This window comes from Homo sapiens, chromosome 3 (assembly GCF_000001405.40).
Source record: "Homo sapiens chromosome 3, GRCh38.p14 Primary Assembly".
Classification (NCBI taxonomy): Eukaryota; Metazoa; Chordata; class Mammalia; order Primates; family Hominidae; genus Homo; species Homo sapiens.
In genome coordinates this window covers 15,380,530-15,406,853 of record NC_000003.12, presented here as the reverse complement: position 1 = coordinate 15,406,853, position 26,324 = coordinate 15,380,530, and the positions used below count along the sequence as shown (strand labels likewise).

The 26,324-nt window shown below is 43.2% G+C and overlaps 1 protein-coding gene across 5 annotated transcripts in view, besides 2 other annotated features; it reads left to right on the top strand.

Annotated features, from left to right (window-relative positions):
• Positions 1–25,579, top strand: part of METTL6 (methyltransferase 6, tRNA N3-cytidine) — a 46,369-nt gene extending 20,790 nt beyond the window's left edge. For 4 of the 5 annotated variants that reach the window (XM_017005719.2, XM_017005723.2, XM_005264867.5 and 1 more), the window contains one exon: positions 22,667–25,579. Coding sequence is in view for 2 of the 5 variants with exons in the window: in XM_017005723.2 (XP_016861212.1) it covers positions 22,667–22,748 (82 nt within the window). In the remaining 3 variants the exon portion in view is untranslated. Of the gene's footprint in view, positions 1–9,203; positions 10,664–22,666 lie in introns of those variants that run through there. The other variant, XM_047447450.1, reaches the window with a different exon arrangement.
• Positions 22,165–22,214: an enhancer, noted in NCBI's record as "active region_19533". NCBI's record gives its function as "activates an Ori minimal core promoter by ATAC-STARR-seq in GM12878 lymphoblastoid cells {active_cell/tissue: GM12878}" and the evidence as "EXISTENCE:reporter gene assay evidence [ECO:0000049][PMID:35858748]".
• Positions 22,335–22,434: an enhancer, noted in NCBI's record as "active region_19532". NCBI's record gives its function as "activates an Ori minimal core promoter by ATAC-STARR-seq in GM12878 lymphoblastoid cells {active_cell/tissue: GM12878}" and the evidence as "EXISTENCE:reporter gene assay evidence [ECO:0000049][PMID:35858748]".
• Positions 25,580–26,324: the final 745 nt, after the last annotated feature.

Here is a 26,324-nt window from a genome sequence, read left to right as displayed (position 1 = left end):
GTTCGAGACTAGCTTGGCCAACATGGCAAAATCTTGTCTCTACTAAAAATACAAAAAATTAGCTAGGCATGGTGCCTTTAGTCTCAGCTACTCGAGAAGCTGAGGCAGGAACCTGGGAGGTGGCGGTTGCAGTGAGCCAAGATCATGCCATTGCACTGTAGCCTGGGCAACAGAGTGAGACTCCATCTCTCTCTCTCTCTCTCTCTCTCTCTCTCTCTCTCTCTATATATATATATATATATATATATATATATATATATATATATAACTGTTTGTTTTTTTTTTTTCATGGCTGGGTCAGGGTTGGAAGTGGGCCCAGGCAGCTGCCAACTTTAAGATATGTTGATTGTAAAATGTACTTCTTGTTAAATTAATGAGGTGACCCAGTCCATCAGTATTTTAACTATGAGCCAGTAGATTGGTTCACAAGCATATTAAAGGCCAAACCTAAAAATGGCTTCAGTCTCATTGCCTCTAGGTTCTTGTGTTCATTCTCGCTGGACACATTTCCATCAGTGCACCCTAAATTAATACAACAGAGGATCAGGTTCTCCCACGTTTGGGTGCTTAGGGACTAGGAAAGCAAGACCATGGTTGGTTTAGTAGCAAACTGTGTGGAATCATATAGACTACAAAGAGTCAACCAATATTGCCTTGTCTTCACAGCCAGAAAACAGTCGCCGGAAACGTAGTGAGTACTGGCTAACAGTACTATAAAAAATAGTATAAATACTATATTATATTAAAATATCCTATATAGTACTATATGTTTCTTTTGAACTTTTCACATATATTAATACATATAGTATAGTGATGTGTGTGTGCGTGTGTATATATATATACACATACACACACACATACTCCATACAATAGTGCTAATACAATTTTATTACAGGATTTGGAATATGAATAAATGGGTTCAAGTGCAGGACTTACCCAGTACAAACTACCAACTTCTTTGAACTTCAGACTCCACATGTCTAAGACTGAGATCTTAGTACCTAGTACCTGGCAGGGCTGCTGCCAGGATTAAGTGAGATCATTCAGATGGGAGTGCTTGGTTTACTATAAAGTACCAGTCAAGTGTTAGTTATTTCTATTATTTTGTATTTCTCCAGAAAGTATATTGTTAGGTCGAAATGGTAGAGCAGCTCATGAACCAAGTCTTTTTCAAGAAGGTTTAATCTTGGGGTCCTTGTAAGGGCTCGGGATTTGAATGTTGTACCACAAGGTGGTGCTAGACATTAGATGTTTTTATTGGCCTTCTACTCCCATCTTAATTAGTTACATAGTGTTCTTTTTTTATTGTTACTGAAGAGCATGGATTATTACAAATGTTTTCTAGATTAACTTAAAAGCTCATAAGATCAATCCCATCTTAGTTATATAGTGTCCATTTTTTAATTGTCATTGAAGAGCATAGAAAATATTTATTACAAATGTGTTTTCTAGATCAACTTATGAGCTCATAAGATCAATTTTGGCCTCACTGGAGATTAGAAAGCAAGGGTGCTTTTACCTAATGTTCAGTCTACTTTCCCTTCTGAAGGTGTTTACTTTCAGTTAAATCTGGGAAGCATTTTAAGGTAATGTCTGTGATGGGCTCGAAAGGCGTCTGCAAGGCCCCCAGGACACTGGGGAGCATAAATACGTGCTGGACACCAATGAAGGGTCCTAATTTTTTTTTCCTGTGAGTAAATACCCCTTTGTACTTTCCTATCCCCAAATGGTTTTGTGGATTTGCTTTTACTGTTGTTTGGAATTAAGGCCAAAGCAGAGAAGGGTCTGCAGCACAGATAATTGTCTGCCTCACGCAGATATTATTTGTAGCTATCTTTGATAGCATTTGGTTCCCTATTTCACAGTTGTCAACTGAGGAAGGGAAAATTGTGAAATGAGTAAACCAAGACTGTTTTGCAGGGCCATGTTCTCTATTGGGGAGCAGACATTTCTCACAAATTTAAGTAAGTTCTGCTACTGAAACCAAATGTTCTATTAAAAAGAAAATTAGTAGGGCACAGTAGCATATGCCTGTAGTCCCAGCTACTTGGGAAGCTGAGGCAGGAGAATCACTTGAGGCCAGGTGTTCAAGGCTACAGTGCACTATGATCTCACCTGTGAATAAACCAGCCACTGCACTCCAGCCTGAGCAACATAGCAGGACCCTGTCTTTAAAATAAATAAATAAAAATTTAAAAATAAGGGCAGGGCAAGGTGGCTTACACCTGTAATCCCAGCACTTTGGGAGGCCGAGGCAGGCGGATCACCTGAAGTCAGGAGTTCGAGACCAGCCTAGCCAACATGGTGAGGCCCTGTCTCTACTTAAAAAAAAAAAAAAAAAAAATTAGCTGGGCATGATGGTGCGCATCTGTAATCCCAGGTACTCGGGAGGCTGAGGCAGATGAATTGCTTGAACCTGGGAGGCAGAGGTTGCAGTGAGCCTAGATCGCATCACTGTACTCCAGCCTGTGTGACAAGAGCAAAACTCCGTCTCAAATAAATAAGTAAAATAAATCAGATGTTTTTCACTTTTCCTTCCTGTCCTCCTCAAATGTGTGGTATTTCATTAAATTGTGTTCAATGGGTACCAGCTGGATGCAGGGCACTCTGGGGTCACTATGGCTGGAGTGCAGGGTAGGGGTGAAGGGATAGTGGGTGTCAGAGGCATTTGAACCAGAGTAACTCCATTTTGAATAGGGGCTGAGTAGAATGAGGCTGAGACCTGCTGGGCTGCATTCCCAGGAGGTTAAGGCATTCTTAGTCATAGGACGAGATAGGAGGTCAGCATAAGATATAGGTCATAAAAACCATGCTTATAAAGCAGGTTGTAATAAAGAAGCCAGCCAAATCCCAGCAAAACCAAGATGGCGACGAGAGTGACCTCTTGTCATCCTCACTGCTACAGTCCACCAGCCCCATCACAGTTTACAAATGCCATGGCAATGTCAGGAAGTTGCCCTTTATGATCTAAAAAGGGGAGGCATGAATAATCCACCCCTTGTTTAGCATATAATCAAGAAATAACCACAAAAATGGGCAACCAGCAGCCCTTGGGGCTACTCTGTTGAGTGACCATTCTTTATTCATTTACTTTCCTATAAATTTGCTTTCACTTTATGGACTCTGAATTATTTATTTTGCTAGATCCAAGAACCCTCTCTTGGGGTCTGGATTGGGATCCCTTCCCAGTAACATGCGCATGTGCTAGAAGGTAGGGAAACAGCTCCAGTCATATGTTCACTCAGCCAGAGTAAGATAAACTAGGAAAACAAATACACTCAGAAAACCAGGAGAAGGAAAAAGAGGAAGAAACGCTGTGGAAATCGTGAGTGCCATAACTGTCACTGTCATTTGGAAAGAATATTTTCACAGTGGAGGCATTATATTCTCTGGTCTGGGGCATGGCCACGGAGATGAGAACATGACACGTAGCTCCTTGGAGCATGTTGCCAAACATGTCTAGATCTATAAGAAAAATATCAGGACTGGCAAAATGAGACAACTCCTGAAAGAAAGAAACTGCTGACAAAATGGGCAAAATGGTCAATTCTAATTAGAAATAATTATAAATTAAATGAGGCCCAGCATGGTGGCTCATACCTATAATCCCAGCACTTTGGGAGGCTGAAGACAAGAAGATCACTTGAGACCAGGAGTTGGGAGACCAATCTGGGATACATAATGAGACCCCTACAAAAAAATTTTAAAAGCCAGTCATGGTGGCATATTCCTGAAGTCCTGGAACCACCTTTGCAAAATGTAACAGTGAGAAAATTACAACAGTGAAATAAATCTGACCTAACAGACTATATCTTGCTTCTAACCTCCAAGCTATCCTTGTTCATTCCTGAACTAACTTTAGGCTGAACTAACTTTGGGAGGAATTTAGTTTATAGTTTAACTTTGAAATGATGATAACAGCTCTTTCCTGAAATAAACCCTCTTCTTGCCTGGTGCCAGAGTGTCTTTTTAGGACGAATAAATTAGCCACAAGATTCGCAATTCCCCAATTACTCCTGCAATAACATCACTATTGTAGAACCTAAGATTGGCCTTTTGAGGTGTCTTTTCAGGTTTTTGCATTTCTTTTTTTTTTTCTTTTTCTTTTTTTTTTTTTTGAGATGGAATCTCACTCTGTTTCCCAGGCTGGAGTACAGTGGCACCCCATCTCGGCTCACTGCAACCTCCGCCTCCTCGGTTCAAGTGATTCTCCTGTCTCAGACTCCCAAGTAGCTGGGATTACAGGTGTGTGCCACCACGCCTGCTTAATTTTTGTATTTTTAGTGGAGAGGGGGTTTCACCATGTTGGCCAGGCCAATCTCAAACTCCTGACCTCAGGTGATCTGCCCGCCTCAGCTTCCCAGAGTGCTGGGATTACTGGTGTAAGCCACCATGCCCGGCCAGGTTTTTGCATTTCTGACGACTGCCACTCAGACCTGCCAGCTGTTCCTGTGGTCCCCACCCAGGAATCACTTCAGCCCAAGAGGATAGCTTCAACTCCATAAGATCTCATCTCTGACCCAACTAATGGGCACTCCCCATTCCCTAGCCCTGCTGCCCACCAAACTATCCTTGAAAAACCCTAGTCTGAATTTTTGGAGAGACTGTTTTGAGTAATAAAACTCTGGTCTCTCATTCAGCCGTGAATGAAAGTCTCTCCCCAGTGCAGTTTCTCTTGTCTTGACAGATTGGCTCTATCTGGGCAGCAAGCAAAATGAACCATTGTGTTACTGGAAAGAGGTCCCGATCTGGCTCTATCTGGGCAGCAAGCAAAATGAACCCATTGTGTTACTGGAAAGGGGTTCCAATCCAGACCCCAAGAGAGGGTTCTTGGACCTTGTGCAAGAAAGAATTCGGGGCGAGTTCATAGAGTAAAGTGAAAGCAAGTTTATTAGAGAAGTAAAGAAACAAAAGAATGGCTGGCTACTCCATAGGCACAGTAGTGGCATGGGCTGCCCCACTGAGTATACTTATAGTTATTTCTTGATCATATGCTAAATAAGGGGTAGGTTATTCATGAACGTTCTGGAAAAGGGGCGGGCAATTCCTAGAACTAAGGGTTTCTCCCCACTTAAGACCATATAGGGTAACTTCTAGGCATTTGTAAACTCATGGCACTGGTGGGCATGTGTTTTACCATGCTAATACATTATAATTAGTGTATTTTGAGCAGTGAGGATGACCAGAGATCACTTTTATTGCCATCTTGGTTTTGGTGGGTTTTGGCTGGCTTCTTTACCGCAACCAGTCTTATTAGCAGGGACTTTGTGACCTGTTTCTTTTTTTTCTTTCTTTCTTTTTTTTTTTTTTTTTTTTTGGCGTGAACATGGCTCACTGTATCCTTCACCTTTGAGGCTTTGTACATAACATTGTAAAACTGGGCCAGACACAATGGCTCATGCCTGTATTCCCAGCACTTTGGGAGGCTGAGATGGGTGGATCAGCTGAGCCCAGGAATTCGAGACCAGGCTGGACAATATGGTGAAACCCCATTTCTACAGAAAATACAAAACTGGGCTGGGCACGGTGGCTCACGCCTGTAATCCCAGCACTTTGGGAGGCCGAGGCGGGCGGATCACAAGGTCAGGAGATCGAGACCATCCTGGCTAACATGGTAAAACCCCATCTCTACTAAAAATATAAAAAATTAGCCAGGCGTGGTGGTGGGCGCCTGTAGTCCCAGCTACTCAGGAGGCTGAGGCAGGAGAATGGCGTGAACCCGGAAGGTGGAGCTTGCAGTGAGCCAAGATTGCGCCACTGCACTCCAGCCTGGGCGACAGAGTGAGACTCCATCTCAAAAAAAAAAAAGAAGAAAATACAAAACTGATCTGGGTGTGGTGGTGTGTGACTGTAGTCCCAGCTATTCAGGAAGCTGAGGTGGGAGGATCACCTGAGCCTGGGTAGGTTGAGGCTGCAGTGAGCTGATATCCAGCCATTGCACTCCATCACTCCAAAACTGTTCACAAGTATAGTTTCAGTTATGTTTAATGATAAATATTATTAAAGGATATGGAGATGCTATATGGGGGAAAAAACTTCACGCACAAGAAGGAAGCAATCCAAAACAGTTACAGTATTTATTTCAGGGTTGTTCAATTATAGCTGTTGCTTTTCTTCTTTATACTTTTCTGAAATTCATGTTTTCTGTAATGACCCTTTATTACTTTTACATTACCAAAAAAAGGTAGTCTAGCATCGTTAGAACTTCTTTATGAACTTCTTAAGTGTACTAAAATCCTTGTGACAATTCTACTAGAAATGCTATTTCAACCTGTGAGATTCCTACCCACCATGAGCTAAATGATACCTTCCAGAAATAAGAGAATGGGTTCTTTAAGGATATTTTCTTTTTTCTGTAGGGGAAAGGGGAACTTTTCGTTCACCCTCTGAAAGTTCAATAATTTGTCTCTGGAATAAACTTGACAGTAGACAGATTAACAAGAGGAAAGACACACAAATTTATTATGTGCACATATGCATGGAGGCCTCACAAAATATGAAACTCCCAGAAGAGCCAGTGTGTGTACCATCTTGAGGCCATGGAAAGGAATAGGGGACCTGGGGCTTGGTGGGGGTGCAGAGAGGGTGTGGAGAGGGTACATCTGGTGCTGCACTTGGTGGGGGTGCGGAGAGGAGGTCACGGCACAAATTCTAGAAGGGAGAGGGGAGGAAATGCACAGCCCACAAAGGTTGCCTTATGCAGATAAAATCTCTCAGGTAGCACCCTTCAGAAGGGTGGCCGCCTGTGGTAATCTCTATCTGGGACGTGTCGACCCACAATCTCCTCTTCCTGTGATATGATTTTTCCTAGTTCCATCTCTAGGCAGATAAGGGGGGCTCAGAGAAAGCCTCTGCTTGCATCTGCTGTTTGCTAATGTAGATTTCCTTTTACAAAATTCTTTCATAAATTTCTTTCACAAAAGGAGATCTTTTCAGAGCTATTCCTGTGTCTTTAGTTTCTTGGAATAGCCATCTCAAAATATGCCAAAGTATATTTTGAGGTGACATTAATTCTCGTCTTCCACAGTCATATTTTGGGGTGGTGTTCTGAGCCCCAACATTCCAGTCCCCTGGTCCCTGAATGTCATGGTGAGGTACCTTGGATGGGGATATTTTCACCTTTTGGGCTGCACTCTCCATGGCTGCTATGATTTTGGAAATGTTTATTCTTTAGTTTGGGGAAATTTACTTACTTGAACTATTTATTTAATGATTCCCTAACATCTAACACTTCTAGGACTACCCCCCAACCGCCCCCCGCCCCAGCCTCCAACACACACACACACACACACACACACACACACACACAATTTCTCCTGGAACTCTCTCTCTCTCTTTTTCTTTCTGTGAGACACCATCTCACTCCCGTCACCCAGGCTGGAGTGCAGTGGCACAATTGTTACCGGAAAGGGATCCCAATCCAGACCCCAAGAGGATTCTTGGACCTTGAGTAAGAAAGAATTCAGGTAAAGAAAGAATTTGAGTAAAGGGAAAGCAAGCTAAGAAAGTAAAGGAATAAAAGAATGGCTACTCTGTAGGCATAGTGGCCCTGAGGGCTGCTAGTTGGCTATTTTTATAGTTATTTCTTGAGTATATGCTAAACAAGGGGTGGATTATTCATGAGTTTTTTGGGGGCGAGGGGTTGGGGGGGCAGGGGAAGGAAAGGATAGGCAATTCCTGGAACTGAGGGTTCCTCCCCCTTTTAGACCATATAGGGTAACTTCCTAACATTGCCATGGCATTTGTAAACTGTCATGGCACTGGTGGGCATGTCTTTTTGCATGCTAATATATTTAATTATCATGTAATGCGCAGTAGGACCACCAGAGGTCACTTTCCTCACCTTCTTGGTTTTGGTGGGTTTTGGCCAGCTTCTTTACCACATCCTTTTATCAGCAAGGTCTTTGTGACCTGTACATTGTGCTGACCTATCTCATCCTGTGACTTAGAATACCTAACCTCCTGGGAATGCAGCCCAGTAGGTCTTGGCCTTATTTTACCCAGCGCCTATTCAAGATGGAGTCGCTGTGGTTCAAACACCTCTGACATGATCATGGCTCCCTGCAGCCTCAACTTCCCAGGCTCAGATGATCCTCCCACCTCAGCCTCCTGAGTAGCTAGGACTACAGGTACATGGGACCATGCCTGGCTAATTTTTTGTACTTTTTAATAGAGATGTGGTTTCACCATGTTGCCCAGGCTGGTCTGCAACTTCTGGGCTCAAGTGATCAGCCCACCTTGGCCTTTCAAAGTGTTGGGATTACAGGTGTGAGCCATGGTGGCTGGCCTGGAACTCTTATTGTAACTGCCTGACAGGTTCTTCCTGCCCACTGAACGAAGAAAATCAATTCTCAGCATTGGGCCAGCTGCAGTGGCTCATGCCTGTAATCCCAGCACTTTGGGAGGCTGAGACAGGCAGATCACTTGAGGTCACGAGCTCGAGGCCAGCCTGGCCAACATGGTGAAACCCTGTCTCTACTAAATAAACAAAAATTAGCCCAGTGTGGTGGTGTGCGCCTGTAATCCCAGCTACTTGGGAGGCTGAGGCAGGAGAATCACTTGAACCCAGGAGGCAAAGATTGCAGTGAGCCAAGATCACTCCACTGCACTCCAGCCTGCGCAACAGAGCAAGACTCTGTCTCAAAAAAAAAAAAAATCTCAGCATTGCAGTGGAGAGTTCAACTGACGCCAGGCCAGCCATGCCATGTGGGAGATGGAGTTATCACTCAAATCAGTCTCATCAAAGGCTTAAAGGTTAGGAGTTTTTCAAAGGTAGTTTGGGGGAAAGGGTGGGGGTGGCTAGACAGTGGGTGCTTGCTGCCGATTGGTTGGGGTGCAATCATAGGGATGTGGGAAATGATCTTCTTGCATGCTGAATCACTCCTGGGTGAGGCCACAGGAGCTGTTGATCAGTAGGTCCAGGTAAAGCATGGGTGTCAGACATGCAAGAAACCTGAGAAAGTATCCCAAAAGGTCAATCTTAGGTTCTACAGTAGTGATGTTATCTGAAGGAATAATTGGGGAAGTTGCATATCTTATGACCTCCAGAATTATGGCTGGCAATCGTTTATGTTTACACCTTAGCAGAATTCAGGCTCCTCTCTGCCCCCTAGCCCAGTGGTCTCTAATTAGCTTTACAAAGGTGATTGAGTTTGGGGGAAGGGCTATTATAATTTAAACTATAAACTAAATGTCTCCTAAAGTTAGCTTGGCAGCTTGAAGGCTAAAAGTGAAGATGGCCGAATAGGAACAGCTCCAGTCTACAGCTCCCAGCGTGAGCGACACAGAAGACGAATGATTTCTGCATTTCCAACTGAGGTACCGGGTGCATCTCACTGGGGATTGTCAGACAGTGGGTGCAGGACAGTGTGTGCCGTGCATTGAGCCCGAGCCGAAGCAGGGTGAGGCATCGCCTCCCCGGGGAAGCACAAGGGGTCAGGGGAATTCCCTTTCCTAGCCAAGGAAAGGGGTGACGGACGACACCTGGAAAATCGGGTCACTCCCACCCTACTACTGCGCTTTTCCGACAGTCTTAGCAAACGGCACACCAGGAGATTATATCCCGTGCCTGGCTCGGAGGGTCCTACGCCCACGGAGCCTCGCTCATTGCTAGCACAGCAGTCTGAGATCGAACTGCAAGGCAGCAGTGAGGCTGGGGGAGGGGCGCCCGCCATTGCTGAGGCTTGAGTAGGTAAACAAAGCGGTTGGGAAGCTCAAACTGGGTGGAGCCCACCACAGCTCAAGGAGGCCTGCCTGCCTCTGTAGACTCCACTTCTGGGGGCGGGCATAGCCAAACAAAAGGCAGCAGAAACCTCTGCAGACTTAAATGTCCCTGTCTGACAGCTTTGAAGAGAGTAGTGGTTCTTCCAGCACGCAGCTGGAGATCTGAGAACGGACAGACTGCCTCCTCAAGTGGGTCCCTGACCCCTGAGTAGCCTAACTGGGAGGCACCCCAATTAGGGGCAGACTGACACCTCACATGGCCAGGTACTTCTCTGAGACAAAACTCCCAGAGGAATGATCAAGTAGCAACATTTTCTGTTCACCAATATCCACTGTTCTGCAGCCTCTGCTGCTGATACCCAGGCAAACAGGGTCTGGAATGGACCTCCGGCAAACTCCAACAGACCTGTAGCTGAGGGTCCTGACTGTTAGAAGGAAAAGAAACAGAAAGGACATCCACACCAAAACCCCATCTGTACATCACCATCATCAAAGACCAAAGGTAGATAAAACCACAAAGATGGGGAAAAAACAGAGCAGAAAAACTGAAAATTCTAAAAATCAGAGCGCCTCTCCTCCTCCAAAGGAACGCAGCTCCTCACCAGCAATGGAACAAAGCTGGACGGAGAATGACTTTGATGAGTTGAGAGAAGAAGGCTTCAGACAATCAAACTACTCTGAGCTAAAGGAGGAAGTTCGAACCCATGGCAAAGAAGTTAAAAACCTTGAAAAAAGATTAGACGAATGGCTAACTAGAATAACCAGCGTAGAGAAGCCCTTAAATGACCTGATGGAGCTGAAAACCATGGCACAAGAACTACGTGACAAATGCACAAGCCTCAGTAGCCGATTCAATCAACTGGAAGAAAGGGTATCAGTGATGGAAGATCAAATGAATGAAATGAAATGAGAAGTTTAGAGAAAAAAGAAGAAAAAGAAATGAACAAAGCCTCTAAGAAATATGGGACTCTGGGAAAAGACCAAATCTACGTTTGATTGGTGTACCTGCAAGTGACGGGGAGAATGGAACCAAGTTGGAAAACACTCTGCAGGATATTATCCAGGAGAACTTCCCCAATCTAGCAAGGCAGGCCAACATTCAAATTCAGGAAATACAGAGAACACCACAAAGATACTCCTCGAGAAGAGCAACTCCAAGACACATAATTGTCAGATTCACCAAAGTTGAAATGAAGGAAAAAATGTTAAGGGCAGCCAGAGAGAAAGATCGGATTACTCACAAAGGGAAGCCCATCAGACTAACAGCTGATCTCTCAGCAGAAACTCTACAAGCCAGAAGAGAGTGGGGGCCAATATTCAACATTCTTAAAGAAAAGAATTTTCAACCCAGAATTTCATATCCAGCCAAACTAAACTTCATAAGTGAAGGAGAAATAAAATACAGACAAGCAAATGCTGAGAGATTTTGTCACCACCAGGCCTGCCCTAAAAGAACTCCTGAAGGAAGCACTAAACATGGAAAGGAACAACCGGTACCAGCCACTGCAAAAACATGCCAAATTGTAAAGACCATCGAGACTAGGAAGAAACTTCATCAACTAACAAGCAAAATAACCAGCTAACATCATAATGACAGGATCAAATTCACACATAACCATATTAACCTTAAATGTAAATGGACTAAATGTTCCAATTAAAAGACCCAGAGTGGCAAATTGGATAAAGAGTCAAGACCCATCAGTCTGCTGTATTCAGGAAACCCATCTCACATGCAAAGATGCACATAGGCTCAAAGTAAAGGGATGGAGGAAGATCTACCAAGAAAATGGAAAACAAAAAAAGGCAGGGGTTGCAATCCTAGTCTCTGATAAAACAAACTTTAAACCAACAAAGATCAAAAGAGACAAAGAAGGCCATTACATAATGGTAAAGGGATCAATTCAGCAAGAAGAGCTAACTATCCTAAATATATATGCACCCAATACAGGAGCACCCAGATGCATAAAGCAAGTCCTTAGAGACCTACAAAGAGACTTAGACTCCCACACAATAATAAGGGGAGACTTTAACACCCCACTGTCACATTAGACAGATCAACGAGACAGAAAGTTAACAAGGATATCCAGGACTTGAACTCAGCTCTGCACCAAGTGGACCTAATAGACATCTACAGAACTCTCCACCCCAAATCAACAGAATATACATTCTTTTCAGCACCACACCACACCTATTCCAAAATTGACCACATAGTTGGAAGTAAAGCACTCCTCAGCAAATGTAGAAGAATAGAAATTATAACAAACTGTCTCTCAGACCACAGTGCAATCAAACTAGAACTCAGGATTAAGAAACTCACTCTCAAAACCACTCAACTACATGGAAACTGAACAACTTGCTCCTGAATGACTACTGGGTACATAACGAAATGAAGGCAGAAATAAAGATGTTCTTTGAAACCAACGAGAACAAAGACACAACATACCAGAATCTCTGGGACACATTCAAAGCAGTGTGTACAGGGAAATTTATAGCACTAAATGCCCACAAGAGAAAGCAGGAAAGATCTAAAATTGACACCCTAACGTCACAATTAAAAGAACTAGAGAAGCAAGAGCAAACATATTCAAAAGCTAGCAGAAGACAAGAAATAACTAAGATCAGAGCAGAACTGAAGGAAATAGAGACACAAAAAACCCTTCAAAAAATCAATGAATCCAGGAGCTGGTTTTTTGAAAAGATCAACAAAATTGATAGACCGCTAGCAAGACTAATAAAGTAGAAAAGAGAGAAGAATCAAATAGATGCAATAAAAAATGATAAAGGGGATATCACCACTGATCCCACAGAAATACAAACTACCATCAGAGAATACTATAAACACCTCTATGCAAATAAACTAGAAAATCTGGAAGAAATGGATAAATTCCTTGACACATACACTCTCCCAAGACTAAACCAGGAAGAAGTTGAATCTCTGAATAGACCAATAACAGGATCTGAAATTGAGGCAATAATTAATAGCTTACCAACCAAAAAAAGTCCAGGACCAGATGGATTCACAGCCGAATTCTACCAGAGGTTCAAGGAGGAGCTGGTACCATTCCTTCTGAAACTATTCCAATCAATAGAAAAAGAGGGAATCCTCCCTAACTCATTTTATGAGGCCAGCATCATCCTGATACCAAAGCCTGGCAGAGACACAACAAAAGAAGAGAATTTTAGACCAATATCCCTGATGAACATCGATGCAAAAATCCTCAATAAAATACTGGGAAACTGAATCCAGCAGCATATCAAAAAGCTTATCCACCATGATCAAGTGGGCTTCATCCCTGGGATGCAAGGCTGGTTCAACATATGCAAATCAATAAATGTAATCCAGCATATAAACAGAACCAATGACAAAAACCACATGATTATCTCAATAGATGCAGAAAAGGCCTTTGACAAAATTCAGCAGCCCTTCATGCTAAAAACTCTCAATAAATTAGGTACTGATGGGACGTATCTCAAAATAATAAGAGCTATTTATGACAAACCCACAGCCAATATCATACTGAATGAGCAAAAACTGGAAGCATTCCCTTTGAAAAGTGGCACAAGACAGGGATGCCCTCTCTCACCACTCCTATTCAACATAGTGTTGGAAGTTCTGGCCAGGGAAATCAGGCAGGAGAAAGAAATAAAGGGTATTCAATCATGAAAAGAGGAAGTCAAATTGTCGCTGTCTGCAGATGACATGATTGTATATCTAGAAAACCCCATCATCTCAGCTCAAAATCTCCTTAAGCTCATAAGCAACTTCAGCAAAGTCTCAGGATACAAAATCGATGTGCAAAAATCACAAGCATTCTTATACACCAATAACAGACAAACAGAGAGCCAAATCATGAGTGAACTCCCATTCACAATTGCTTCAAAGAGAATGAAATACCTAGGAATCCAACTTACAAGGGACGTGAAGGACCTCTTCAAGGAGAACTACAACCACTGCTCAATGTAATAGAAGAGGATACAAACAAATGGAAGAACATTCCATGTTCATGGGTAGGAAGAATCAATATCGTGAAAATGGCCATACTGCCCAAGGTAATTTATAGATTCAATGCCATCCCTCTCAAGCTACCAATGACTTTCTTCACAGAATTGGAAAAAAATACTTTAAAGTTCATATGGAACTAAAAAAGAGCCCGCATTGCCAAGTCAATCCTAAGCCAAAAGAACAAAGCTGGAGGCATCACGCTACCTGACTTCAAACTATACTACAAGGCTACAGTAAGCAAAACAGCATGGTACTGGTACCAAAACAGAGATATAGACCAATGGAACAGAACAGAGCCCTCAGAAATAATGCCACATATCTACAACTATCTGATCTTTGACAAACCTGACAAAAACAAGAAATGGGATAAGGATTCCCTATTTAATAAATGGTGCTGGGAAAACTGGCTAGCCATATGTAGAAAGCTGAAACTGGATCCCTTCCTTATTCCTTATACTAAAATTAATTCAAGATGGATTAAAGATTTAAATGTTAGACCTAAAACCATAAAAACCCTAGAAGGAAACCTAGGCAATACCATTCAGGACATAGGCACGGGCAAGGACTTCATGTCTAAAACACCAAAAGGAATGGCAACGAAAGCCAAAATTGACAAATGGGATCTAATTAATCTAAAGAGCTTCTGCACAGCAAAAGAAACCACCATCAGAGTGAACAGGCAACCTACAGAATGGGAGAAAATTTTTGCAACCTACTCATCTGACAAAGGGCTAATATCCAGAATCTACAATGAACTCAAACAAATTTACAAGAAAAAAAACAACCCCATCAACAAGTGGGCAAAGGATATGAACAGACACTTCTCAAAAGAAGACATTTATGCAGCCAAAAGACACATGAAAAAATGCTCATCATCACTGGCCATCAGAGAAATGCAAATCAAAACCACAATGAGATACCATCTCACACCAGTTAGAATGGCGGTCATTAAAAAGTCGGGAAACAACATATGCTGGAGAGGATGTGGAGAAATAGGATCACTTTTACACTGTTGGTGGGACTGTAAACTAGTTCAACCATTGTGGAAGTCAGTGTGGTGATTCCTCAGAGATCTAGAACTAGAAATACCATCTGACCCAGCCATCCCATTACTGGGTATATACCCAAAGGATTATAAATCATGCTGCTATAAAGACACATGCACATGTATGTTTATTGCAGCACTATTCACAATAGCAAAGACTTGGAACCAACCCAAATGTCCAACAATGATAGACTGGATTAAGAAAATGTGGTGCATATACACTATGGAATACTATGCAGCCATAAAAAATGGTGAGTTCATGTCCTTTGTAGGGACATAGATGAAGCTGGAAACCATCATTCTCAGCAAACTATCACAAGGACAAAAAACCAAACACCGCATGTTCTCACTCATAGGTGGGAATTGAACAGTGAGAACACATGGACACAGGAAGGGGAACATCACACACCGGGGCCTATTGTGGGGTGGGGGGAGGGGGGAGGGATAGCATTAGGAGATATACCTAATGTTAAATGACGAGTTATTGGGTGCGACACACCAACATGGCGCATGTATATATATGTAATAAACCTGCACGTTTTGTTCCCTAAAACTTAAAGTATAATAAAAATAAATACTGTCAACATACAGGACCTAAGTTACAGGATCTGGAATTGTTCTGCAATGTAACATTTTAGTAGAGTGGAGCACAAAAATGTGCATGGAGGATTAAAAAAAAAGAAGGCTAAAAGCAAGATGGAGATTGGCTAGATCACATCTCCCCCGCTGCCATTGATACAGAAGGGCTGGGCTCCTGGGTAAACCCCACCCTTAAGCCTGGAACCTCAGCTCTAAGTGAAAACAGGAGCCCCATTTTTCCACCCACGTGTTGCCTTTTTGGCCTGCCATTTCCCCATCCTGTGCTCATAAAAAGATTTCAGCTGGCAGAGCAACACAGCAGCTGAGCATTGGGGATACAAACGGCTGATTGTCAAGGATACAAGTGGCTGAGCAGTAAGCAGAGAAGCAACTGAATGTTGGAGACTATGGGTAGATGTGGCTAACTTCAGATGATGCGGCTTTGGAGAGGGGCCTGCCCTCAGACTGCTCGGCTTCAGGGAAAGATCACCTTCTTCCCGCATCATCCCCTTTTCAACTCCCCATCCCGCTGAGAGCCACTTTGATCGCCCAGTAAAATCCTCTGCATACACTACCCTTCAATCTGTTCATGTGACTTGATTCTTCCTGGATGCTGAGAGCCGCTGAGAGCCACTTTCATCGCCCAGTAAAATCCTCTGCATACACTACCCTTCAATCTGTTCGTGTGACATGATTCTTCCTGGATGCTGGACAAGAACCTGGGTGTTGAGAGGGCAGGGGCTGCCACCCTGACCCTCCACTGAGCTGGTTGGCACTTAGCTGTCCTCGGACTGAAGAGCTGAAACAGCATTGGTTTCAACATGTTTGGATGCTGTTATGGGGCCTGCACCGAGCCTGCTCCTGCCAGAGAGGAGCAACTGGCCAATTCCAGCATTCGTTTTTTCCAGTTCCTGCACTCACTCACTCTCACAAGGGGTTTGAGCACGAGGTGGCCGAGTAAACAAGCCACACCCCAGTTGCAAGTACTGCAAGGAGGTCAAGGGAATTATCCTGTCTCATAATTTTCTGTTACAATTTTTGCAAAGGTGGTTTCATTATTATTATTATTCTTTTTTGAGACAGAGTCTTGCTCTGTCACCCAGGCTGGAGTGCAGTGGCATGATCTTGGCTCACTGCAACCTCTGCTTCCCAGGTTCAAGCGATTCTCCTGCCTCAGCCTTTCAAGTAGCTGGGACTACAGGTGCGTACCAACACACCCAGCTAACTTTTGTATTTTTAGTAGAGATGGGGTTTCACCATGTTGGCGAGGCTGGTCTCAAACTCCTGGCCTCAAGTGATCCACCCACCTCGGCCTCCTGAAGTGCTGGGATTACAGGCGTGACCCATTGTGTCCCCTAGCCTCCTTATTAAAATGTTGAAACTACTGAACTGATGCTATAAATTTACAATCTGTTCTCTTCTTTTTTCACTATCTGACAAGTGTTTGGCTTTCTAGGAGATTTAACTTACAATCTTTTTTTTTTCCCTTGAGATGGAGTCTTACTGTGTCACCCAGTAAGGCAGTACTGTGCCTCCCTTGGGAGGATCCCTTGAGCCCAAGAGTTCAGGGATGCACTGAGCTATAATTTCACTGCTCTCTAGCCTGGGTGACAGAGTAAGATTCTTTCTCTTTAAAAAAAAAAAAAAAAAAAAATTGGCCGGGCGCGGTGGCGTATGCCTGTAATCCCAGCACTTTGGGAGGCCGAGGTGGGTGGACCACTGAGGTCGGGAGTTTGAGACCAGCCTGACCAACATGGAGAAACCCCATCTCTACTAAAAATACAAAATTAGCCGGGCGTGGTGGCGCATGCCTGTAATCCCAGCTACTCAGGAGACTGAGGCAGGAGAATCTCTTGAACCCAGGAGGTGGAGGTTGTGGTGAGCCGAGATTGCGCCATTGCGCTCCAGCCTGGACAATAAGAGTGAAATTCCGTCTCAAAAAAAAAAATTAAAATTAAAAAATAAATTCTGGAGGAGTACAGGCAAGGCAACCTCACCCCAATATATGGCTCCCTGGTATAATGAGTATTTTGAATTAAAGGTCCTTAAAGATCAATAGATGCTAGAAGAGACTTTTTCTCTATCTACATAAAGGGCTGAAGGACCCACCAAGGAAAACGATCGTTTTTCCTTCTGCTTCATGCTTTCTCATCTATTGCAGAAAAGAAGAGCAAGGAATTAACCACACCTAAACAGACTTATTCACAAGATAATATTCTTCTCTCAGGCTCAATTTCCAAAGAGCACTTTGGGGAGCCAAAGTGGGAGGATTGCTTGAGGGCAGGAGTTCGAGACCAGCCTGGGAAATGTAGCACAACCTACAACAAAAAACTTAGAAAAAAAAAAAAGGCCAGGTGTGGTGCCTCATGCGTGTAATCCCAGCACTTTGGGAGGCTGAGCAGGAAGGATTGTTTGAGCCCAAGAGTTTGAGACAAGCCTGGGCAACACCGTGAGACTCCATCTCTATAAAAAAAAAATTAGCTGGGCATGGTGGCATATGCCTATAGTCACAGCTACTTAGGAGGCTGAGGCAGGAGTGAAACCACCACTGCAAAATTATAACTGAGACAGTGAAAGAGATCTGACTGAACCAACTCTATCTTCCTTCTAACCTCCGAGCTGTATTTGTTCATTCCTGAGTGTAGGCTGAACTAACTTTGGGAGAAAAGTAGTTTATAATTTAAAACTTAGTTTATAGTTTAAAACAAAGATGGCAACAGCCCTTTCCCAAAACAAACGCCCTTCTTGCCTGGGGACTAGACAGCCTTTGTAGGACTAAGAAACTAGCCACAAGATTAGAAATTATGGTTTAGGAGTCATACAGCTGGATGCTACAAGATTTTGGGCCTCCTTAAACTGCTCCTAAGATCAGTGCTCAGATGTTCTGCAGACCCTGCACTTGATGGATCAACTGGCACCACCCAGATGGATAAACTGGCTCATCTGATCTTGTGGCTCCCACCCAGGAACTGACTTAGTGCAAGAAGACAGCTTCAGCTTCTTATGATTTTATCTCTGACCTGATCAATCAGCACTCCTGGTTCACTGGCTTTCCCCTACTCACCAAGTTGTCCTTAAAAACTCTCATTTCCTGGCCAGGTGCAGTGGCTCACACTTGTAATCCCAGCACTTTGGGAGGCCGAGGCGGGCGAATCACTTGAGGCCAGGAGTTTGAGACCAGCCTGGACAACATGGCAAAATCCCGTCTCTGCTAAAAATACAAAAATTTGCTGGGCATGGTGGCATGTGCCTGTAATCCCAGCTACTCAGTAGGCTGAGGCAGGAGAATCACTTGAACCCAGGAGGCGGAGGTTGCAGTGAGTGGAGATTGCGCCATTGCACTCCAGCCTGGGCGACAAGAGCGAAACTCCATCTCAAAAACAACAACAACAACAACAACAACAACAACAACAAAACTCTTATTTCCAAATACTGAGGGAGACTTTTTTGAGTAATCATAAAACTCTGGTCTCCCGCACAGCTGGTCTGTGTGAATTACTCTTTGTCTACTGCAGTTCCCCTGTCTTGATAAATTGGCTCTGTCTAGGCAGCAGGCAAGGTGAACCCATGGGTGGTTACAAGAGGATCACATGAGCCCAGTAGGTCAAGGCTGCAGTGAGCTGTGACCACACCATTGCACTCCAGCCTTTGGGACAGAGCAAGATCCTGTCTCAAAAAAAAAAAAAATCTTTTTTTCAAAGAGAACGATTTACAAGCTAATCTCTGTTCCCTGATCCATTCATTCTCCCTAGCAATCGTTTATTGTACCTCAACAGAATTACCTATATTCCCCATCTCCTCACTCCCCTCTCAAATAAGGCTATATAAGTATTTGGGCCCCACTGGGATATTGAGTGATCACTCTGATTCTCCCCTGTGTACACATTAATAAGTTTTGATGCCTTTTTCCTACTAATCTGCATTTTGTGAGTTGATTTTTCAGTAAACCTTCAGAGGACAAAGGGGAAGTTTTTCCCTTGGCCCCTACTGTCAGAGGCATTTGAACCAAAGTGAATAGGAGCTGGGTAAAATAAAGCTGAGACCTACTGGGCTGCATTCCCAGGCAGTTAGGCATTCTTAGTCACAGGATGAGATAGGAGGTTGGCACAAGATACAGGTCACAAAGACCTTACTGATAAAACAGGATACAGTAAAGAAGCTGGCCAAAACCTGCCAAATCCAAGATGGTAATGAAAGTGACCTCTGGTCATCCTCACTGTTCATTATGTTAGAATCGGTAGTTAGGCAGACATGAGCAGGGCAGGGGAGGGCCCTGTCTCCAGGAATGTCAGGTGATCATCAGATGATGGTCAGGCAGTTGTTAAACTGTCTCTCTAAAATAACAATTGGTTGTAGCCAGTGCCAGAGAAAGACAATCTCCCAATAGATAGAAAACACCTGAAACTAACTGGGCACCATGGCTCATGCTTGTAATCCCAGCACTTTGGGAGGCTGAGGCAGGTGGATCACCTGAGGTCAGGAGTTCAAGACCAGCCTGGGCAACATGGTGAGAACCACCCCCCATCTCTGCTAAAAATACAAAATTAGCCGGGCGTAGTGGTGCATGCCTGTAATCCCAGCTACTCAGGAGGCAAGGCTGGAGAATCGCTTGAACCTGGGAGGCAGAGGTTTCAGTGAGCTGAGATTGCACCATTGTACTCCAGCCTGAGTGACAAGAGTGAAACTCTGTCTCAAAAAAAAAAAGAAAAGGAAACACCGAAAACTGGTAATCAGCAGCTTCCTGGTAAGATCTTTGGAGTTGGGCAAGTGGACTAAGGCACGTTCACTAAGAGGCAAAACAGCAGAGTTTAATGGGTGTATGACCTTCCTCTGGGAACACTTGACTGGTAATGGAAACACACCTCAACTTAGCATGTGTACAACTTCAGTAAACATACTGCACATACACACAGCCCACCCCAAGGGGACAATTAAGGGAAGAGAAGCAGAAACCCTGGAACCATGCCCATGTATAAAACCTCAAGTCAAGGGCTGAAAAGGGCACTTGGATCTCTCAAGTCACCCACTTGGCCCTCTTCCAAGTGGACTTTGCTTCCTTTCATTCCTGCTCTAAAACTTTTTAATAAACTCTCATTCCTGCTCTAAAAGTTGTCTCAATCTCTCCCTCTGCCTTAAACCTGCTTCTGCCCCTTGGCTGAATTCTGTCCTCCAAGGAAGCAGGCATCTAGTTGCTGCAGCCCCATGTGGCTTTGCTGCTGGTAACAATTATATGCTAGCTATAATGCATTAGCATGCTAAAAGACACTCCCACCAGCACCATGACAATTTACAAATGCCATGGCAGTGCCTGGAAGTTACCCTACATATTCTAAAAAGGGGAGGAACCCTCAGTTCTGGAAATTGCCCACCCTTTGCCAGAAAACTCATGAATAATCCACCCCATATGTAGCATATAAGCAAGAAATAACCATAAGTTTACTCATAGAGCAGCCCATGCCTCTGCTCTGCCTATGGAGGAGCCATTCTTTTGTTTCTTTTCTTCTCTAATAAACTTGCTTTCACTTTGCAGACTTGTCCCAAATTCTTTTCTCGTGCAAGGTCCAAGAACCCTCTCCTGGGGTCTGGATTGGGATCCCTTTCTGGTAACACTACAATTCTAAGAGCTCTTTTTTATTGGTTCACCTACAGGAATAAACTGAGGCAAAATTAATGTAAGCAGAGAGTTTATTTGGGCCAAATTTGAGGGCTACAGCCCAGGAGACACAGATTCAAGTTAAGTTGCCCTGAATATATGCTGTGATTAGCAGCACTTACAAGTGGATTTTTTGGTTTTTGTTTTTGTTTTTTTGGAGACAGGGTCTTGTTATGTTGACCAGGCTGGTCTTGAACTCTTGGCTTCAAGCAGTCAACAAGTGGGGTTTTTTTGTTCGTTCGTTTGTTTGTTTTAGATGGAATCTTGCTCTGTCACCCAGGCTGGAGTGCAGTGGCACAATCTTGGCTCACTGCAACCTCTGCCTCCCGAGTTCAAGCAATTCTCCTGCCTCAGCCTCCCTAGTAGCTGGAATTACAGGCGTGCACCACCACGCGCAGCTATGTTTTGTATTTTTAGTAGAGACAGGTTTTCCCCATGTTGGCCAGGCTGGTCTCAAACTCCTGACCTCAGATGATCCGCCCACCTCGGCCTCCCAAAGCGCTGAGATTACAGGTGTGAGCCACTGCGCCTGGCCAACAAGTGGGTTTTTAAAGGAAAAAAGAAGGGGCAGTTCCTAAATTGAACATAAGCTACTAATTGGCATATGTTGTTCTTTGTATCACAAATTCCAGGAACATGAAGATAATGGGTGAGGGTCATATTGTGCAACTTGTGATAGCATTTTGGGTAATTTATCAGCCAGTCTGGAAACTACATGGAAGGAAAGAAAGAACAAAATGCCTTTAAACAATTGTTCCTAGGCATGATTCTCTGGGGAGGGGTGGGTGTGACTGAAGATTCATTCTCTGAAGATTGTGTCTCTCTGGACCTGATAAATTTTGCATACCACACATTTTTCAGACTTCTCTGAGCTACTTCTCTTTCTCACTTCAGTGTTCATTTTAAAAATAGTAACCCATTATTTCACAGATGCAATGTGTTATTTCTCTAAAGCATGCATTTCAGTAGAGAAGGGGTCTCTAAGAGGGGCAGTAATTGTCCCCCAAGGGGGCAAAAATTGGTTCTTTGGGGATTGACAAGAGAATGTTTTATATAACAGTGATCTGTGGCCTTCAAAAACTCAACCCTATCCAACAAAATCATATTCATTCTTCTAGAGTTGAAGTGTCTTTGCCTGGGCTGGAGTGCAGTGGCGTGATCACAGCTCACCTCAGCCTGGAACTCCTGGGCTCAAGTGATCCTCCTACCTCAGTCTCCCGAGTAGCTGAGGCTACAGGTGTGTGCCATCACACCCAACTAATTTTTTTTTCTTACAGAGAGATGGTCTCGCTATGTTGCCCAGGCTGGTCCTGAACTCCTGGCCTAAAGCGATCCTCCTGCCTCGGCCCCCCAAAGTGCTGAAATTACAGGTGTGAGCAACTGCACCCAACTTCTTGTCCATTAATATTTAATTTCTCTCTGCATAGTCTCGTTTTCTCTATTTTTTTCTTTATTTCCTGTTTTGGTCTCTATCTTTATTAGGAGCTTTTCTCAGATGTGTGGTGACCCTTGGTTTTCCATTCATATTTTTTTTTAATGCGGAGCTTAAAAGCTGCTTGGAAGCTCTGAGCACATGAGGTGGAGTTGTCAACATGGGCTTCATTTTATTTATTGGTTTTTACTTATTTTGTTTTCTTTTATCTCTTTTTTGTTTCTTTTTCAGGTCTCAAACAAAAGTCTGGAACCTGGGATTCTTTGTAGGATATCTGGCTGTGCTTTTGTATTATATGAACCACAGAAAATAATCTTCCAGTATGATATTGTTTTCAGTATAGTACCTCAACCCTAATTTTGCCTGGTAACCCTTTATCCAGAGACCTTTTGTTTTCAACTTACAGTCTTATTCTGGGGTGGGGGATGTACAGTCTGGCTGTGTGGACTTGCAGGAGAGATTTAGGGTTCTAACTTCTTCTTACTGACTTCCAACCAATTCTCCTGTATTCAGTCTTATACACACCCCCACTTATACTAGACGTAGCTGGTACTACCAAAGCCTGGTCACAAAACTCTATGGGAGTCTCAATGCAAGTTGAGTTGCTTCTTGACTTTCATCCCTGCTGGCTTAAGACTCAGCTTCACAAGCCTGCTAAGTCAGTTGCTATTTATCCTGTTTTCTAGCCCTTCAAAATTTTAAATGAAAATTTACATTTTTAATTGACAAATAATATATATATGGGATAAATATGATGTTTTGATAGTAATAGATGTATACATTGTGGAATGATTATATGAAGCTAATTAGCATATCACACTCCTCACATACTTCTTTTTCTTTGTATTGAGAACATGTAAAATCTATTCTTGGCCAAGCATGGTGGCTCACACCTGTAATTCCAACACTTTGAGAGGCCAAGGCAGGAAGATTGCTTGAGCCCAGGAATTCAGGGGTTCCAGACACCAGCCTGGGCAACATAGCAATACCCTGTCTCTAATAAAAAAAAAAAAAAGTAAAAATAAATGTGTAATTTAAAAAATTCATTATTGTTATTATTTTTACAATTTTGAAACTGTAGGGGCCAGGAACAAACTTCCCCTTTGCCCTCTGAAGAATAACTAAAAAATCACTCACCAAATGCAGATTAATAGGAGAAATGGAATAAAAACTTAGTAATTGTTTTCCTTGGTGGATCCCTTAGGTCTTTATGTAGATAGGGAAAAGGTTTCTTCTAGCATCTGTTGATTGCTAAGGACATTTAATTCAAAATACTCATTATACCAGGGAGCCATATCTGGGGGTAAAATTCCAGATGCTCCTTCAAAGTATACATTATTATTGACTATGGTCACCATGTACAGTAGATCTCAAAAACGTATTCCCCCTGGCTAACTGAAATGTGTGCCCTTTGGTCAACATCTCCCCTACTCCTCTCCTCCCCCAGCCTCTGGTAACCACCATTCTACTTTCTGCTGCTGTGAGTTCAACTTTTTAAAATTCCACGTATAAGTGAAATCATGTGGTATTTGTCTTTCTGAATCTGGCTTATTTCACTTAGCATAATATCTTCCAGGTTCACCCATGTTGTTGCAAATGATAGAATGTCCTTGTTTCTAATGTTCTCCCAAATTTAATCAGTTGTATGGGGTTTATGTGATAAAAATATCCTTTTGCTGTCATTTTCGTGGGGTTTCCAGAAGGATCCTAACTAGGTACACATGCTTAGTCTGTCTTTTTTTTTTTTTTTTTTTTGAAGCAAGTCTCCCTCTGTTGCCAGGCTGGAGTGCAGTGGCCTGATCATGACTCATTGCAACCTCTGCCTCCCAGGCCCAAGCAATCCTCCTACCTCAGCCTCCAAGTAGCTGGGACTGAAGGTGTGTGCCAGCATGTGTGGCTAATTTTATTTTTGTAAAGACAGAGTCTCCTTATATTGCCCAGGCTGGTCTCAAACTCCTGGGTTCGAGATCCTCCTGCCTCTGCCTCCCAAAGTGCTGGGATTACAGGCATGAGCCATGGTGCCTGGTCTAGTCTGTCATCTTTAAACAATTGGGTTGGGAAGGAAAAGGTAGCACATAGATAGATGATTTAAGCAGAAATAGATAAGCATAATTGTCCACTGTAAAGGGGCTGAATGATCTGGAGAATGGAGGCATCTCAGGAAAACTGAACTTGGTGGTGTGTGCTTAGGACTAATGAAAAGTGGCCGGGCACAGATGCTCATGCCTATAATCCCAGCACTTCGGGAGGGTGAGAGGGAGTATAATTTGAGGCCAGGAATTCAAGGTTGCAGTGAGCCATGATTGTGCCACTGTTCTCCAGCCTGGGCAGCAGAGTGAGACCCCGACTCTTAAAAAAAAAAAAAAAAGAACCAAAGAAATGTTAGTTCCAGGGATTCCCAGGGACATGGGCAGGGTCCAAGAATGATGCTGAGTTAAGGTTAGGTGGCTATTCAGAAAGCTACTTCGACTTGTATCCCATATTATGGATCAAGGACCTTAAAAATAGCCATACTTTTTTTTTGTTCTAGTAACTCAATTTGTAGGATTGTTTCCTAAGAGATAATCTGACATATTCAAGGACTTCTTCACAAAGATATTCATTAGCTGCATTATTTATAGTACCAAACATTATAAATAGTCTAAACCAGAGATCCACAAGCTATGGCTATAACAGTGACAAGGAGGCCTAGCGTGACTAACTCCATTTTGCTCCTAACCCCCCTGCAGCGATAACCTGTATCTTTTAGGTTAACTGCTTTTGCTTATCTCTGCACATAGGCCAAGCTAACTATAGAAGGAATTTAGTTTATAGTTTAGAGCAAGGATGGTAATAGTGCCTCCCCCAAAACTAACCCCTGAGGAGATAAGGAGGATGTATGCAAGTAATAATGTTATGTTAAAGATTTATAAGAGCACTGTGACCTGACCAAGGACAAAGTTTCACCACCTCCTTGGACCCTTGCCACCACCCAGATGTGATCACTGGCCACTTCTTGACCTCAACTCCCTCCCTCTTCCCCCTTCCTCTCACGTAAAAGGAGCCTGAAATTTGTATTGACTTAAAAATGGTTCTTCAGGACACTACTCTTCCATTTTCTTGGTTTGCTGGCTCTCTGAATAAAAGTCACTTTCCTTGCCTCAACCCCTTGTCTCTTGACTTATTAAATGTCATGCAGTGAGTAGTACACTCTTTGGACTCTGTTACATGACCCAGAGAATCATCTAGTCCTCCTTTTATTCTGGTAAAGTTGTGTTAAATACAGCCACACCCGTATATGTATTGTTTATGGCTTATGGCTCCTTTCATGCTACAAGGGCAGAGACTATCTGGCCAATAAAGCCTAAAATATTTACTATCTGGATCTTGTTTTTGTTTTCTTTTTTTTTTTTTTTTTTTTTAGAGAAACGGGGTGTTGCTATGTTGCCCAGGCTCGTCTCAAACTCCTGGACTCAAAGTGATCATCCTGCGTCGGTCTCCCAAAGTGCTGGGATTACAGGTGTGAGCCACCGCGCCTGGCTATCTGGACCTTTAAGGAAAAGTTTGTTGCCCCAGTCTAGATGACTGGTAGGGGGGTCAAGCTAAGATATAGCCATATGATGGAACAGAATATAGTCAATGAACATTGTGTCTAAGAAAAAAAGTTTTCAACATTTTAATAGAATGTTCACATTATAATGTTAAGTTTAAAAAAGCTAGATATAAAATTATACAATCTGTTCTGAACTATATAAAAATATGTACAGAAAAATACACTGGCAAGAAATTCAGTACCATAAAATATTTTCTTTTTTTTTTTTCCAAGACAGAGTCTCACTGTGTCCCCCAGGCTGGAATGCGGTGGCGTGATCTCGGCTCATTGCAACCTCTGCCCCGCCGGGTTCAAGCG